We start from the raw sequence: 18,280 nt of genomic DNA, 5'->3' as shown, positions 1-18,280 counted from the left end.
TCACCTCTGGGTGGCAGCAGAAGTTTTCTGATCTCTCACAATGGCAGTAGTATAGCTTGAAATCTAATAGAAGCCCCATGACTTCTGTTCACCCAATCCTTCTAACTAGTTTGTACGCATCACCTTCCTTGTAATAAATCTCTTTCCATACAGAAATATTAGAGGAGTCTCTGGTTTTTGCCATGGATCCTAAAAGACATTGCTTTATTTTCATGCCCCCAGCCTGATGGTAATTCAATGTCTCTGCTCCTTCAATTTCTGGTTCTGCACTTCTCAGAAGCAACAGAAAGAAGAGTATAAACACACAGGAAATTTCTGTGGCCAGTCTGGGAGCAAGCATGCACCATTTCTACTCACACTCCATTAGAAGTCAGTCACATGCCCACATCTAATTTCAAGTGAGCTGGGGAAAGTTAATCTAGCTGTGGCCCAGGAAGAAGAGGGAATTAGTTTTATAATCAGCTAGCACCCTCCAACACGTAGAGTTTTAATTATTGTGTTTTAGCTGAATTACTACAAATTGTATCTTTAGAGGAAATTTCAATATGTTCAAAATATATTTCTTCAATATCCATTATGGATTCTCTGAACTGCAAATGATATCTTCCCATTAGCTTTATCTTATAACATTGTCTGAAATATACTTCTATGGAAATATGTTCATGTTGGGACATGGTAGTCATATACATCTATAAGTTCATTTAAAACATTACTGAACACTTTTCTATCTAATGTTTATATGAAACAATCACTATTGCAGACAAGCTCTTTATGGTCATTAACTCAAGAAAAAAAGAATAACAAAGTTAATTCAGCCAAATTACTATCATAGTGCAATTTGCTCTGCATATTTCATACTTCAGTATATGAGGTCATGACTCACTTCTGTTTATATGAGACTAGAAGAATACTTTTCACTGACTTCCTTTTATGAATATGAAGAGCATTAATGTGGCAAATAAGATGGACTCACAAGACAGAGCTTATTAACTTACTATGAGTCAAAAGAGCCTCTCATTTTAGAAGATGATGCTAGAGATAAAAGGATAAGAACAAGAAGAAAATTCACATTGGAATCAATCTTTTAAAAAATATAGTGACAGAACTCTTTACTTCAGTGACTTTATTTCTGAGACAGAGTCAGGTGTTTCTTGGGTAATAGACACAGTAGATTGTTTCCTGTATTACTCTCCTCTCATCTTCTAAAATTGGAGTGTTTTTATTTCTATTCAGAGAAATGAAGAACTAGCACTGCTTCTGAATCTTTCCACCTTCAGGACCCTGAAGTAAGTCCAAGATGTGCTGGCAGGTGATTTTAGGTCAATGAAACTGTCATTTTCTCGCTAAAGAAAGGAAGAAACTCTATCTTCCTGTACCACGGTTTTCCTTTCTTGTTAGTGGTTGGCTGAGCATTGTGAACATAACAGTTGGGGAAACTAGGAAGGGAGTGGTAATTGTTGTACATCGTGCCCTTTTTGTGCTTCTTTGTTCCTAGGCTGTGATCTCATGATTTGTTCCAGGGAACATTCACGCTCTCAAAGCTGAGGAAGAAAACTTACGGGCCAACAGGGATTTTAGCTGATGTTTTGAACATGCAAAAATGGTGCTGTTGGAAATAACCAAGACACATGGAGCCAATCACCGTGTAATATTCATGATTATGTAATAAAGTGATCGTATTTCTAATCAGTTTAGGATATGGGCTAAATGTCTAAGTATAAGGCATCAGGGAGATAAATGACGATAACAAACTTTTCTTCTTTTCACTCCCTTTCACAACCCACAGAGTAGTTCCTTGCTTGCTGAGCTGTGGGGGTCACCTTTCCCTATGCCTTCAAGGGTCCCACCTTTATACACATTGTCACAGTGTGATTTGCTTTACCATGTGGTAACTCACATAGCAAGCCCACCTCATCTTTTCACATCAAGTAGATTGGTGAACCATGAAACAACAGCACTACTATTTCATCTACATATTCACGAAGAGGCGCTGCCTCTTTGAGGCAAAGTCTAGAACAGAATTTTCCTATGATACCTGGTAGGTTGCACAGAACTATAGCAATCAGGTGTGAGACCAACAAAACATAATGTTCACTTCTTTCTTTTTTAAGAGACAGGGTCTCACTCTGTTGTCCAGGCTGGAGTGTAGCTGTGCAATCATGGCTCACTGCAGCCTCGAACTCCTGGACTCAAGGGATCCTCCCATCTTAGCCTACTGAGTAGCTGGGACTATAGGCACACACCACTACACTGGATAATTTTTAATTGTTTTTTTGTAGAGACAGGGATTTTTTATGTTGCTTAGGCTGGCCTGGAACTCCTGGCCTCAAGCAATCCTCCTGCCTCAGCCTCCTAAAGTGCTGGGATTACAGGCCTGAGCCACCATGCCTGGCCCACAGTGTTTATTTCTAAAAGGAGTCAGGGACATTCCAGTGTAAAACTGGTCATATAGATCTTCAATCGCATAGCTAAGGTACTTTTTGAGTAGCTGGGTATCTCATAGTAGTCAAGGAATATACAAGCATACTTCAAAGATATTGTGGGTTCCATTCCAGACCACCACAAGAAAATGAATACCACAACAAAGAGAGTCATATGAATTGTTTGGTTTTCCAGTGCGTATAAAAGTTATGTTTTGGGGTCGGGCGTGGTGGCTCATGCCTGTAATCCCAGCACATTGGGAGGCTGAGGCAGGCAGATCACGAGGTCAGGAGGTCGAGACCAGCTTGGCCAACACAATGAAACCCCATCTCTACTAAAAATACAAAAAATTAGCTGGGCATGGTGTTGGGTGCCTGTAATCCCAGCTACTTGGGAGGCTGAGGCAGAAGAATTGCTTGAACCCAGGAGGCGGAGGTTGCAGTGAGCCGAGATCACGCCATTGCACTCCAGCCTGGGCGACAGTGCGAGACTCTGTCTCAAAAAAAAAAAAGAAAAAAAAGTTATGTTTTTACTATACTGTAGTCTATTCAGTGTGTAATAGCATTATCTCTAAATAAGAAATGTACATAACATAATTTAAAATGTTATTGATGAAAAATGCAAACAATCATCTGGGCCTTAAGTGAATTGTAATCTTTTGCTGGTGTAGGGTCTTGCATCAGTGTTGATGATTGCTGACTGACCAGGGTGATGATTGTGGTAATTTCTTAATATAAGACAACAATGAAGTTTGCTGCATTTATTGATTCTTCCTCTCATGAAGGATTCGTATATAGCATATAATGCTGTTTGATAGCTTTTTACTCACAGCAGAACTGCTTTAAAAATTGGAGTCAGTTCTCTCAAACCCTGCTGCTGTCTTATCAACTAGGTTTATGTAATATCCTAAATTCTTAGTTGTCATTTTAACAATGCATATAGCATCTTCACCAGGAGTAGATTCTATCTCAAGAAACACATTTCTTTGCTCATCTATCAGAAGAAACTACTCATTCATTAAAGTTTTATCATGAAATTGCTGCAGTTTTGTCACAGCTTCAGGCTCCACTTATAATTCTATTTCTTTTGCTATCTCCACCACATCTGCAGTGACTCCCTCCACTGAGGTCTTGAACTCCTCAAAGTCACCTATAAGGGTTGGAATCAACTTTTTCCAAACTGCTGCTCATGTTGCTATTTTGACCTCCTTCCATGAATCATGACTGTTCTTCATCACATCTAGAATGGTGAATCTTTTCCAGAAAGAAAAAAATATTTTTCCCAGATCCGTCACTATCTATGGCAGCTATAACCTTATGAAATGTATTTTTCAAATAATAAGACTTGAAAGTCAAAATTACTCCTGGATCCACGGGCTGCAGAATGAATGTTGTGTTAGGAGACTTGATAAACAGCATTGATCTCCTTGTGTGTTGCCATCAGAGTTCCTGGTTTACCAGGTGCTTTGTCAATGAACAGTAATATTTTGAAATAAATCTTTTTTTCTAAGCAACAGCTTTCAACAGTAGGTTTAAGATAGTCGGTAAACCATACTATAAACAGATATGTTGTCATCCATGCTTTGTTGTTCCATTTACAGAGCATAGGCGAAGTAGTTTAGCCTAATTCTTAAGGGCTCTAGGATTTTCAGAATGGTAAATGGGCATTGACTTCAACTTAAAGGTTTAACTGCACTAAACCCTAACAAGAGAGTCAGCCTGAGCTTTGAAGCTTTGAAGCCAGGCATTGACTTCTCCTTTCTAGCTATGAAAGTCCTCAATGGCATCTTTTTCCAACAGAATGCTGTTTTATCTACATTGAAAATCTGATGTTAGTGTAGCCGTCAATTGTCTTAGCTAGATCTTCTGGATAACTTGCTACAGCTTCTCCAACAGCACTTGCTGCTTCACCTTGAACTCTTAGGTTATGGAGACACATTCTTTCCTTAGACCTCACAAACCAATCTCTGTTAGCTTCATAATTTTCTTCTGCACCTTCCTCACCTCTCTCAGTCTTCATATAATTGAGGAGAGTTAGGGCTTGGCTGTGGATTTAGCTTTGCCTGAAGGGAATGTTACAACTGGTTTGATCTTTTATCCCAATCACTCAAATTTTCTCCGTATCAACAATAAGGCTGTTTTGCTTCCTTATCATTCATATGTTCCCTGGAGTAGAATTTTTAATATTCATCAAAAATGTTTTCTTTGCATTCACAACTTGGCTAACTGCTTGGTACAAGAAGCCTAGCTTTTGGCCTACCTCAGTTTTCAAACTGCCTTCCTCACCACTCTTAGTCATTTCTAGCTTTTGATTTCAAGTGAAGTATGTGTAACTCTTCCTTTCACTTGAATTCTTGGAGACATCATAGGATTATTAATTGGCCTAATTTCAATATTGTTGTGTCTTAGGGAACAGGGAGGCCCGAGGAGAAGGAGAGAGATGGGGGAACAACCGGTTGGTGGAGCAGTCAGAACACACATAACAAGTACTGATTAAGTTTGCAGTCTCATATGGAAACAGTTTGTGGTGCCTCAAATCAATTACAATAGTAACATCAAAGACCACTGATCACAGATCACCATAACAGATATAACAACAATGAGTTTGAAATATTGTGAGAATTACCAAAATGTGATACAGAGACACAAAGTTGGAGAACTATTGTTGGAAATATGGCACTCATAGACTTGCTTAATGCAGGGTTGCCACAAACTTTAAATTTGTATAAAACGTAATATCTGCAAAGCACAATAAAGCAAAGTGCCATAAAACAAGGTGTGCCTGTGTTACCATTCATGGAGAAGCCTGTGGGAAGAATTTGAAGATATTTCTATTTCTTCATGTGCAATAGAATCAAATACCTGCCAGATGGAAGTAAATACTGTTCATTGTTTCCCATCCACTTATCCACTGTACTTGCAGTTATTCACTTTTCCTTTTATTATTTGTTGGTTATATGTTAGAGTCATATTATGTTAGAAAATTATACACTTAAATCTTTTTTTCTTTTTTTTTCTTTTTTTTTTTTGAGAGGAGGTATCACTCTGTCACCCAGACCGGACTGCAGTGGTGCAGTCATGGCTCACTGCAGTCTCAATCCTGGGCTCAAGTGTTTCTCCCATGTCAGCTACCCATATCCCAGTGTGGCTGGAACTACAGGCACGCACCACCATGCTCAGATAGTTTTTTGTGTAGTTTTTGTACAGACGGGGTTTTGCCATGTTGCTCAGGCTGGTCTTGAACTCCCGAGCTCAAGCAATCTGCCCACCTTGGCCCTCCCGAAGTACTGGGATTACAGGAGTGAGCTGCTGCACCTGGCCCATTTAAATTTTCTTAATGTAGATAACATGTAAAGGATATACAGTGTGAGGCTGGTAGGCAGATAGGCAGGTAGATAGATGCAAAAAACTTGTCATAAAATGCCAAGGTTTTGAAGTTGCTACATACCATAACATATCCTGTCTTATATACCACCAATTTGAAGAGTGAGGTGTTTTGGGCATCTCCATCTGAAACTCAGAATAAATTTTCCCAGAGAAGTATCAGTTAAATAACAAATGACATGATATACCGGAAAGAGAATAGAATTTCAAGCTGAAGAGCATTTGTTTTCATTTCAGCCTGGCTACTTAGTTTTGGTACACTGATTTGCTTTAATCATTTCGGTTTTCTATCTATCACACTGGTCATAAACATCAAATGAGGTGATGTCCAACAAATAATTTAGTTAGCTTTATAACGCCTATAAAATTTAAGATATAATCATCAATTTTTAATTATGTGTGGCATAATTAAAATAATATTTTTATGGTTTTATTTCTAAACTATTTATGACAAACTGTGAATTAAATTAAGATTGGTTCATGTAGGTGTGATTTAAAATTATAAATTAAATAACATTAACTGTTGCCATTATCAACCACATTAACATCTCCCTGAAAGTGGAGTCTATTTTCCAACTTATGTTCCTAATATCTATACTAATTTACATATAGTTGATACTAAATAAGGACAATAGGGTAAAAAATGGAGACCTGTCAATGTGTAAAAATATTATCTAGAAAACAAAATGAGTATTTCAGAATATTATTTAAAAATAAAATATCAGTTAAAATAAGCTGACTTTTTAAAAAGTGAAATTTGGATTGTTGAATGATCATTTGGAAACAAGTATGGGAACGGTCTTAAAAAGCAACCTAAATTTTTAATGAACCAACAATTTTTTTATTATACTTTAAGTTTTAGGGTACATGTGCACAACGTGCAGGTTTGTTACATAGGTATACACGTGCCATGTTGGTGTGCTGCACCCATTAACTCATTATTTACATTAGGTATATCTCCTAATGCTATCCCTCCCCGCTCCCCCCACCGCACAACAGGCCCCAGTGTATGATGTTCCCCTTCCTGTGTCCAAGTGTTCTCATTGTTCAATTCCCACCTTTGAGTGAGAGCATGCGGTGTTTGGTTTTTTGTCCTTGCGATAGTTTGCTGAGAATGATGGTTTCCAGCTTCATCCATGTCCCTACAAAGGACATGAACGCATCATTTTTTATGGCTGCATAGTATTCCATGTGAACCAACAATTTAAATATAAAAAATTAAATCCTAAAATAACTAGCAAAGAGTCCAAGGATTATATAAACTTGGAGAGTAGAAGGCATTTCTAAAGATAATACTGAAATTAAAAGACAATTAAGAAAAGTGATGATATGATTTGACTACATAAAAGTTAAACTTATATGTATGGAAATTAAACACAATAATATTCAAAATATGGATTATACAGTTGGAAATTTTTGCAAGATTTATAATAAATGATGAGGTATTAGTCTTAATATTTATTAATAATAGTAAAACAAAGAGAAATCTCCAACTGAAAATTTATCAATGAACATCGTGTTAATCAGCTTTGCTGCAGTAGCTAATGTTATGGCTTACCATAATGTTTTACAGTGGAACTTCAGGTCTCTGTGGGCTGATACAGGTCTGTTCCATGTTATTTTACCCAGGGATTCAGACTGTAGAAGCAACTTCCATTTGGGATGTGCCATTGTTTTCACAGAAAAAATAGAGCAAGAGTATTTGTGGTTTTATGCCATGGCTTTCTAACTTTCTACTCATACATGAACAACATTATGTCTTTTCACGTAAGAGGGGATAAACTATTCTCAATGCCATCAAGGCAGAGATGTATACAATTTCTGCAGAAGGCTTTAAAAAATCATATGGTATTAGGTGTAGTTGTAGAATCCATATATAAAAAAGGGGGCAAATATGTGGAACCAATAATAAAGGTTATCATCATAGATACGGACAACTCATAAAAGTATAAATAATAATTGGCCAGTAGTATAAACATGTGTAGCCCAAATAGTAAAAAATGCAAATGATAATATAATGGTGCCTCTTGGTACAGATGAGGAAATAAATAATTTTAACTTCTCTGATGATGATTTGATCATAAATATCAGTAACTCTACTTCTAGCCTCTCTTTGATTAGAATTTAAGATTGTAAGAAAATAAATTTCAAAAAATTACTACAAGGACATTTATCACAAGGTAGCTTATGAAAGCACTACACTGGACATCTACTCGATGTCCCATTGAATTGCTGGGAATTGTTGAAATAAATTATAGCCCACTCCATTTAATAAAATACTACAATGCCATTCAAAATTACAGCCTGAAATTGTATTTATGATGTCAGTAAATTCAAGATCTTCAGTCCGTTTTGTGAAATAACACCCCTGAATCAATGAGTTTACCCATTATATTACCTGTGCTTGTTTCTAATTATTCAAATAATGGATAACTTCTTCTTTGAACAAGTTTGCATTTTTAAAATTATTTGACAATGAACAGACAGTGCATAGAATTAAAATTTTTTTAAAAATTGGGTCTAATGCAAGTGCATAAATTTTAGTAGATGTTGCCTTCAAAAGACACAACATTTTGTCTCTGTGTTCAAATCTAAAGAAAAGACAAGTTAAAAACAGTGATCAAAGCTGGCTACTCTGGATAACCCCTTCCAAAGCTTTGTCAAGTGAAGCATTTTTAGACATTTCAGACACACACACTGTGCACCATTCACTTGCTCTCTGTCAGAGTCTTCTGTGTCCTATAATTTTAAACTCTAAAAATACTCAGTGGTGAAATATTGATTTTCTCTCTAATTTTGCTCAGACTTTAGTTGGATGCCTGGTAAGGATTTCATTCTGAGATCAGTACTTGACCCTGCGCTTTGTTCTTTAGTAAGGAAACACATTGTATCTTTATTCTTCCACCTCAGGTAGTCTATGTCTTTTTCTTGGCATTCGTATTGTCACTGTGCATCAAAACCAGGAATCTTATTTTACTTTAAAATCAGCTAATGATAAAATATCCAAGGTGTTTACAGATTTTCTAAGAAAGCAAGCACATATTAGCTATAAGGTAGAAATCATATTTATTATTTATTTATTCATAGGTAAATTGCCATGAACTAAACTAAGCAATGTTTAAAAATGTGTAAAAATTCATCTGAATATTAATTATAATGAGTAACTAAATTACAATCTCCCTGAGGCCCAGAGATGTTATTTGCTCATTTTAAAAATTTATACATCGTATTTAGTATGTAGCTGGTACATTATGGAAGAGAATAGAAAGATCAAGGAACACACACAAGCATATGTAAGAATTTAATTCATCATTTTTTAAAACTAATTTATTTTTAACTATTTTATATATATATATGTTTTCTTAATAAATATTTACCAAACAGCTATTGTATCCTAGGTATTGTTCTGTTTACTAGGATTATAAAATGGAGCAAAGTTGACGACCCTTTTAAATTTATTGATCTTCCATTTTAATGGAAGGATATAGAATAAATTCAATACTTTCAATCACTGGAAAGAGTGATCGATGAATAAATGAAATTTAGGTAAATTAAACCCAGTACAAATGAGGCAGGAGTATATTCTGTAGGAGACCCTGAAAAGTCATACGGCATTGAGTGCCACAGTTTAGGGAAAAATAAGTTTGGGATGGATTAAAACTTTAAACATTTTACAGAATCCTTGGTTTAATAAATTTGACTAGAGATTAGATTAGAATAAATCCCTACTTTCTTTGGAAGACTTCCAATATAGCATGAAAGCTATATATTTTAATAATAAGAAAGAGGCTAAAAGTACCAGTTTTATGGCAGGAGGAAGATTGCAACACACCAGTTGTAAGACGATGCCTGTCTGGATTAGTATTCCACTGATACTTTTCTTTATCCTCATTGAATTTTTGGCTCTGTACATTTATATCTGGGTAATCAAGAAGTATAAAAGTACCACATACACCCAACTCCTTTCAGCCAATGACACACTAAGGCGTCTTCTGGATCAAGACATTTCTTGATAGCCTGAATATTGTGTTGATTCCACATTTGTACCTATAAACTTTCTTTTCTTTTCTTTTTTCTTTTTTTTTTTGAGATGGAGTCTTGCTCTGTTGCCCAGGCTGGAGTGCAATGGTGCAATCTCAGCTCACTGCAACCTCCGCCTCCCGGGTTCAAGCAATTCTCCTGCCTCAGCCTCCCCAGTAGCTGTGACTACAGGCACCTGCCATCATGCTCGGCTAATTTTTTTGTATTTTTGTAGAGACGGTGTTTCACCATGTTGACCAGGCTGGTCTTGAACTCCCAACCTCAGCTTATCCACTCACCTTGGCATCCCAAAGTGCTGGGATTACAGGCATGAGCCACTGCGCCCGGCCTGTACCTATAAACTTTCTATGATTTCTTGTTTGCTCTGAATTTATGTAATGTATATTGGAGATAAATTGAGTTTTCGTTATCATACATACACCGATGTTGTGTCACTTATGGGTATTTAGGGAAAATCAGGGGAAACTAATATCTAAATAGGAATTCTACTCTTAAAATTAACTACAAATAATATTTTATCTCATACGACAATAGTAATTTCCCTGTTTCATAAATTATTAAATTTGAAATTGTATTAATTCATTTTCTTTAAGTATTATGTTTCCATTTCTATTAATTTAGGTGAGTCTATAGATCTTAAGTAAAACTGAAAACAATACTAGAGGAGAAATTAGAAATTTCTAAGAACTTTGTAACATAATATTACAGTGATGAACAAATTTTAAATTGGTATAAATATTAGTTTAACTTAGCTAGAATTTCAAAGACATAAAAGTCTATGCAAATAGTTAAAATTGAATAAAAGAGGCAAAAAAGGAGAATATCCAAAACAGTATGGTATTTAGTTTTTATCACTAAATGATGAGAGAATTGGTGAAATGAGCACATTATTTGTAGGCTAAAATAGAGGAGTGTTAGAAACCCATTGTCCCATTGTTTTCTAAAGTAAATATCGAATATTTTAAAAAGATTTTATACAACTTATTCAGAAGACAACTACTATAAAAATCCGTTTAAAAATTTCGGTGATATAGAATATTATTCATACTAATATTCAAATAAAAATAAAATCCTCCTTGCTCTATTTGTAGATATTTTATGCGTTTCAATATAAATTATTTGGCAATATATAAGTCCAAATATGTCTTTTATGTCTTAATATTTTTCAAATACAGATTTTAAATAATAACAACGTATAAATTACAATTATGTTTGCTTTTTATTTTTTGCTGTGTCTTTGTATGTGTGTGTGTGTGGGGGTGGGGGGGGGAGAGGGAGAGAGACCCAATATCAGAATTTTTAAAATTCCCTATATAACTACATTGCTTTTTTTTTTTAAATTATACTTTAAGTTCTAGGGTACATGTGCACAACGTGCAGGTTTGTTACATATGTATAATGTGCCATGTTGGTGTGCTGCACACATTAACTCATCATTTACATTAGGTATATCTCCTAATGCTTTCCCTCCCCCTTCCCCCACCCCACAACAGGCCCCAGTGTGTAATGTTCCCCTTCCTGTGTCCAGGTGTTCTCATTGTTCAGTTCCCACCCATGAGTGAGAACACGCGGTGTTTGGTTTTTTGTCCTTGCGATAGTTTGCTGAGAATGATGGTTTCCAGCTTCATCCACGTCCTTACAAAGGACATGAACTCATCATTTTTTATGGCTGCATAGTATTTGTGGTTTTTCAAGTTATCATTTGATTATTTCTAATTGTGCTGTTCAAATCTATATTTTCCTGTTTATTTCTATTTGTCCTATCGATAGAGAGAAGTATATTAACATTTCTAAATAAGTATTTAGATGTATCATTAATATTCTTTCTGTCAATTTTTTGCTTTATGTATTTTTAGCTGGTGTGATTAAATTTATACAAATTTATAACATACTCTCTTCCTGTTGAATTGACTGTTTAAACATTATAAAATATTCCTCTTAAATGCATTATCTTTATGTAGAAAGTCTATATATGTTTTTGAAATCCCCTTGTTGAAATATAATTATCTATCCTCATGTTGTGTGTAGACTGTGGTTTACCCACATTATACACAATAAGTGTGGCACAGAGTAGAGTACATATTGGAGAGTTGTTGGTCAAAGGGTACAAAGGTGCAGAGAAAAAGGAAGAATAAGTTTTGAGCTTTATTACACAGCACAGTGACTATAGTCAATAATAATGTATTGTATATTTCAAAATAACTCAGAGAGTAAATTTTAAAATCTCCCCATAAAAAAGTGTTAAGTGTGGTGATGGATATGCTAATTAGCTTTAATCATTCCACATTGTATAGATATATCAAAACATCACATTCTGTGCCATAATTGAATGTAACTGTGATTTGTCAATTAAAATAATATTAGTAAACATAGGCTTTATGTAAAATGTTCTCATTTTTCTTCCAAATCATGAGATTTCTTTGTACCTGTATATCATGCATGCTTTGATATGGGTCAATACTTATTATAAAAGAGTCTGGGAAAGGACTTGACAGCCTTAGTTTGGTAATGATGAAAGGATTTATTTTTATTCTAAGGTATTAGAGAAGTGTATATAGAGTGAAGTAAGTAGAGGCTTTAAGGAAAAGAGGTGAGAAGCCCAACCATTCTTTTTTCCATTAGCAGTGTACTTTGGAGGCATGAGCTATTATCTTCACAGATAACTGTGGGAAGATAGTAAGCAGCTGGAGTTGACAGAAGAGGTAGAATTAAAGGCAGATCACAGACTTGCTGAATCAAAGACTTGCTTATAAGTCAGGAGCGAACTGTAGAATACAGATTTTCAGGAAGTTTTGGGACAGGGTTGCTCTTTTTCTCTCCAACACCTATTCAGTTCAGTTTAGAAAACTGATACTTACCACCAACCATGTTCTAAATGTCCCTAAGTGCTGAGATTCAAAGACAAATAGATGCAGTTGCAAATCTTCAGATATTTGTCATCTAGTGAACAAAACACAAATAAATATTTTGAAACAAAGTAAAAGAATATGAGGACTCAGACAATTAGACACCAACAAATACCTGTACACAATGAACTTGTAATGCAAAACAGGGGTTGGTTAAAAAGGGAGAGAGTAAATAGAGGGGTGAGTAGTAACAACTAAGTAAACACTTGTTTATTGAATCTTAAAAATGACAGAGGAGGCTTGGGGAAATATCAGTCCAAGGATATAAAATCTCAGTTAGAAAGGAGAAATAAGTTCAAGAGATCTATTGTACAATACAGTGACCATAGTTAATAACAGTGTATTATATACTTTAAAATTGTAAAGACAGTAGAATTTACACATCCTCACCACAAATAAATAAGTACGTGAGTCATTGCATATGTTAATTAGCTTTTTTAGCCATTCCACAATGTATGCATATGTCAAAACATGTTGTGCACAATAAATATACAAAATTTTTCTCAATTATAAAATAAATTTAATAAAAAATAAGTTAAAAAAGAAAACTATTTTTTCCAAATGTCCCATTTACACATGCAAGTCAGAATATTAGTAAAATTTCAGGCATTATATTTGAAAAATTTATTTGCATAATAATATAGTAAGAATTTTTTGTAGATTTCAGGATATTTTATGCACTACAGCCTCCTGAAGTTTGTTAACTCCTCTGCCTCAAATCAGTAATTTAGTGTCTTGTGGCAGGCACTTATTTGCACAAGGTTGCACTAGATAAAATTCTATGACCCTTCCATCTTTGTAGGTAGTATTTTCATGAGAGATGGTGTATAGCAAGCACCTTCCTATTTATAGAAGGAAAACTAGATCTTTTAGATATCTCATGCTAATGGAGAAAAATTCCACTGAGCTAAATATATTGGAAATTCAGCCCTGACAGCAGAACATGTAAATGAAATCCAATCTTGCAGCTTGAGTCATAATTGAAGTTTCTGCTTGGGGTTGAGAGAGGCCTTGAAGTCATCACCTTAAAGACCATCTCCCTTGCTCCTAGATGCTTCTACATGTACTGGGAACATGTGCTCCAGCATAGATGATTTATAGGGGATGATGATACACTTTTCATGTGCTGTAAATGCCATGAAATTATATCAGGAAATTCAAAGAGCAATGAATTTAGAAAAAAATTAAGTACGTGGAGGATTTTAGAAATCCTAGAAGTTAATAATAGTACACTTCCATTGGGAATGTTACAAAATTGAAGGGCCTAAATATAACTTTTTGAGCAACCGCTCAAAAATCTGACTTTTAAAAATTGTCAGAGAACAGAGAACTGGAACAGGAATCATCTGATGATACATATGTCAAAAGAATTAGAGTTGTGTTGTGTAATTTTCCCTTTGGATTAAATGTCATACAGGTTTTAGTCTTGATTTTCTATGTAAGTGTATACAACTCATTTTTATGCCTAAATAACAAGGGAACAGCTGAAATTCATGTTCTGCCATTGAATTAAACATGATAATAGATGGACCTTTTATTGCAACTTACTTATAATAACCCATGTTAATTGAATACGTACATATTATGTGCAAAGCACTGAAGGAACTAAATAGATGAGAAGTAACAGGATCTACTCTTAAGAAATTTTAATCTGGTAGGAGACAGGAGGGAAACATTCAAGAAAAGATGGTGCGCATTCCAAGTAGTAAAATATAGGCCATGAATGAGTGATAAAATCATGCTAGAGTATCTAGAAACCATAGCATTTCCAGCACAGTTAGTCAGGGGGCTTTTACCAGAGGTCATAAAGGCAATTATATTTGAGCTTGCTCCTGAAAAATAGGTAAGATTTGAATAGATGTAAATTTGTGGAATACTTTTTCATAGAGGTGTACTATTATTAGTAAATACGTAGATAGAAAAACACAGTTAAGTAGACTGGGTAGTCTACAGATGACATTTCATGAAAGACAGTTATGGGAAAAACTGTTAAGGGGGGTTGGGACCCTCTTTGTAATGGGCACTGAAACCTGTGCCAAGAATGTAGATTCTAATTATCATAAAAATTGTCTTTTGTTATAATCAGTAAAGGAGTTTTATGATTGAAACAGTGCTTTAATAGTTCTAGAAAGAATACAGAGAACAGCAACAAAGCAAAAAGTCTAGAAAGATGCTGTTATAAGTGCCCAGGCATCACATCTCAAGGCAAGAGAAATGGGGGCAAGAAATTAGTTAGATCTCTTTGTACAAAAAATGAATAGAATTTAGTAAGTGATTAGAATCTGTAGGCCTTAGGAACAATAAGAAGAAAATAGGTCCACGAATAAAAATATGTAGTTCTAGGGAGAAAAAATGGAATGAGTTATACAAGGAGAAATTCCCAGCATGTTGGTTCTTATAGGAAAAAGAATTTTAGAGCTGAGTCATTAGAGCTAAGACTTTAAACACTGTTTAAAGTTTAAGATTAAGCTAAGAATTGAAACATTAATACAACTGTGAACGTGGAAGCCAAGAAGATGAACAGGATTCATATGGAGATTATCCAGGATGAGAAGGGTGATATAGCCAAATCCCTGCTCAGGGTACATCCACAATTAGTCCTATCATGAATCCGGTAAAGGATGCGGGAATGAGTTTTCAGATAGTTGAAAGGGGACAAAGGGTGATAGAATATGACTAAGTGGAATAAAATTTTAAAAAGAAAGTCCATTGTTACATAAGGTAAAACAGAGAGATGGAAAAGAATAAAGACTGGTAAGCAGCCATTCTAATAACATTTGTAAGGTACCTAGTGGATTTTTAAAGTGCGGGTTTCAAAAAGTGAAAAATTCGTGGGAGTACCAATATAAGGAAGGCATGTCAGGTTATCAGTTTTTGATTCTTCTCCATTCACTTATTCACAACATATTTTTGGAACACCTCTAATGAGTTCTAGGTGTTGGGAATATAGTAGTGGGAAAAACAAGTTCCTTCTCTCATGATCCTTACATTCTAGTGGGAGGAAACTGTTAATTAACTAATATATGTATCAGTTGCTGATAAGTTAAAGAAGAAAAATGAAGGGTGGGAATAGCTGGAGATTCATAGTTTCCCAACTTCAAAAAAGAGGCCTTCTCTTCACTCATGTACCAGTGTTCTACCTTTGAGTCAGACACATTCATAACTACAGATTAATTTTATGATTTAAGAAGATGGCAAAATGTCATTGGAGAATTGAAAAAGTCACTCCCTAGTCTTGCTCTCACTATAGAACACAATCCTTAGAAAGTATGAGACACTATTCATGTTGTTTTTACATGATAGGAATAGTGCTTTCTGCAAAAACTTAACAGCTTTGCAGACTCCATGGGTAAAAAAGAAATAAAACTGAGATAATAAAGTGGTAGTTCCAAGATATCGTTCTCCAAGTGTCTGTCTTAAACAGGTCTGGAAGAAGACCAAGTTATGATATTTTAAGGAATTGGTTGCCTTAAATGTGTTAAGGGCCTTATTAACACAGTATATGTGTGCATGTGCCTACTACTGACATGATTTGAGCATCTTTTCACCTAAACTCAGTGAAATGAGCAAATAAAATGTGAAATCATCTATAATAATGCATGGTTTCATGTTGGAAGAGTTACAACCTGAAGTGTGTACATATAAAAATGCATAGGCAAGTTTTGATTTAATTTAACACTTTTGCAGAGTCATATTGTTTAATCGAATAAGGAAATCAGGCTGTAAGCAGGGCAGAAATCAATGCTAAGCACTGGGGAGAAGGCTTCCCTTTCACTATCCCTATGACCCTTTCACTGTTTTTCTTAAAATGAAAATGTCTGGAAATGTAGGAAATTTCACTCTTCCCCAAACACACAGTAATTAAAATTGCCTTATGTGTCTGTTTAGGGAGGATGTGTGATGATATTCTGCCTTTATTTAAAATCATCTTTGGTATTAAATGTTATCTTACCTAAAAAGTAATATAGCAGAATGACTTTTATTATAGATGATAATTTATGAAAAATGTAGCCAACGGAATTGATGTCAAACTTTTATCCACAAGTGCTATTTACTTTAGTATTGCTCACTATTTACCAAGGTTTGTTACAGCAGTAGTCACTATCTCAGTTGGCATTCGGCCTGTTTATATTTTTTAAAGTGGCATTGTATTTTATTCTCATGCAACATTGGAGCTAATTACAGCGGCTTCCTCTTCTATTTCAACCCCCAATGCTCCCAGTTTTCTCTGGGTTTTGCTTTCACCCGCGGTCATAATATTTTTTCCATTTTGTGTTTGATCCTCTTTCATATACAGCCAGGAAAGGAGCATCCAACGCCACAAAGAATGAAAAGGCTTTTAGAACTAATTTTCATTTTCTGTGCAATGCCCATGGCGATCTCTGAGTGTGTGATGTGCCACCATCAGCTTTTGATTATGCAATTGAAATGCAAAAAGGTTAAAAGCTCAGCTTTATTGGCCTTATCAGCAGTTTGCACTCTCCCAAAAGCTCTGTTAGAACAAATACTTGATCACTTTTGCTCAAAGAATACAACAAGTTTTAAGAAGAGGAAGTTCATAGATGATGCCCAGAGAGAAATGGGTGTTTTGAAATTTTATACTATGTTTTCTCATGCCAATTTTATTAAGTTTTATATCAAAAATTGTTTTCAAATGTGATTGAAGTTTCAAAAGTGACCAAATATATCTTATTTCTTGATTTGCTGGCAGAGACTTGGAAGAATAGAGCTTTATAACAATATTCTACACAGAATAAAATACAGTGAAATACTGGCTGTTCATATTTCTACACCATCAAGTCTTCCACTTTGATTAAGTAGTTTTGAACTGGAGTGGATGCTGTGTTATTGCAAAGAGCACAACAATCTGACTTGCCTCAGGAAAAAACAAAAAATCTGTGTGTGTGTGTGTGTGTGTGTGTGTGTGTGTGTGCGCGTGCATGTGTGTCAATAATTCTAGGCTGGTCAGGATGAGACTTCAATAAGCATGCGGAATCAGAGAAATTCCAGCTAGATTATACCAGTCTTGAGGTCGCATCTTTGAGAGTTGGCTGGCACTATCATGTGAGCTGTACTGTGGGGAATATGACTTGCTGTATTTTCTCTCCCTCCACTGATTCAGATATTGTAGGGGCTTGTAGTAGGAGATAAAAGGAAAAATCCTGGACTATAAGAAACAAAAAATAGTTTCAGGCTCTGATGTTCACATTAAAAATGATTTTGTGCTCATTTTAGAAATAGGAGAGTACATGATGAATTATAAGATTATTGTCTCACTTATATTTATATAAAATATCATGCCCAACTTTGTATCTTCAAAGAACCCATATCACGTTTGCATTGGCTAGATTAAGCACTTCTGAAAGGATAGCGATCACGTTAACCTTCCATGAAGCACAAATTTAAATCCCTGAATTCATTGAGCAATGTTGACCTCACTACATTACATTCTCCTCATGAAAATGAGATCTATATGTGACAATGTACTAGTACCAAAGAAATCTGAGAGAAAATATGAACTTCAGATTC

This window comes from Homo sapiens, chromosome 13 (genome assembly GCF_000001405.40).
Source record: "Homo sapiens chromosome 13, GRCh38.p14 Primary Assembly".
In the NCBI taxonomy this organism is placed as follows: domain Eukaryota; kingdom Metazoa; phylum Chordata; class Mammalia; order Primates; family Hominidae; genus Homo; species Homo sapiens.
Note: the sequence above shows the minus strand (reverse complement) of the source record.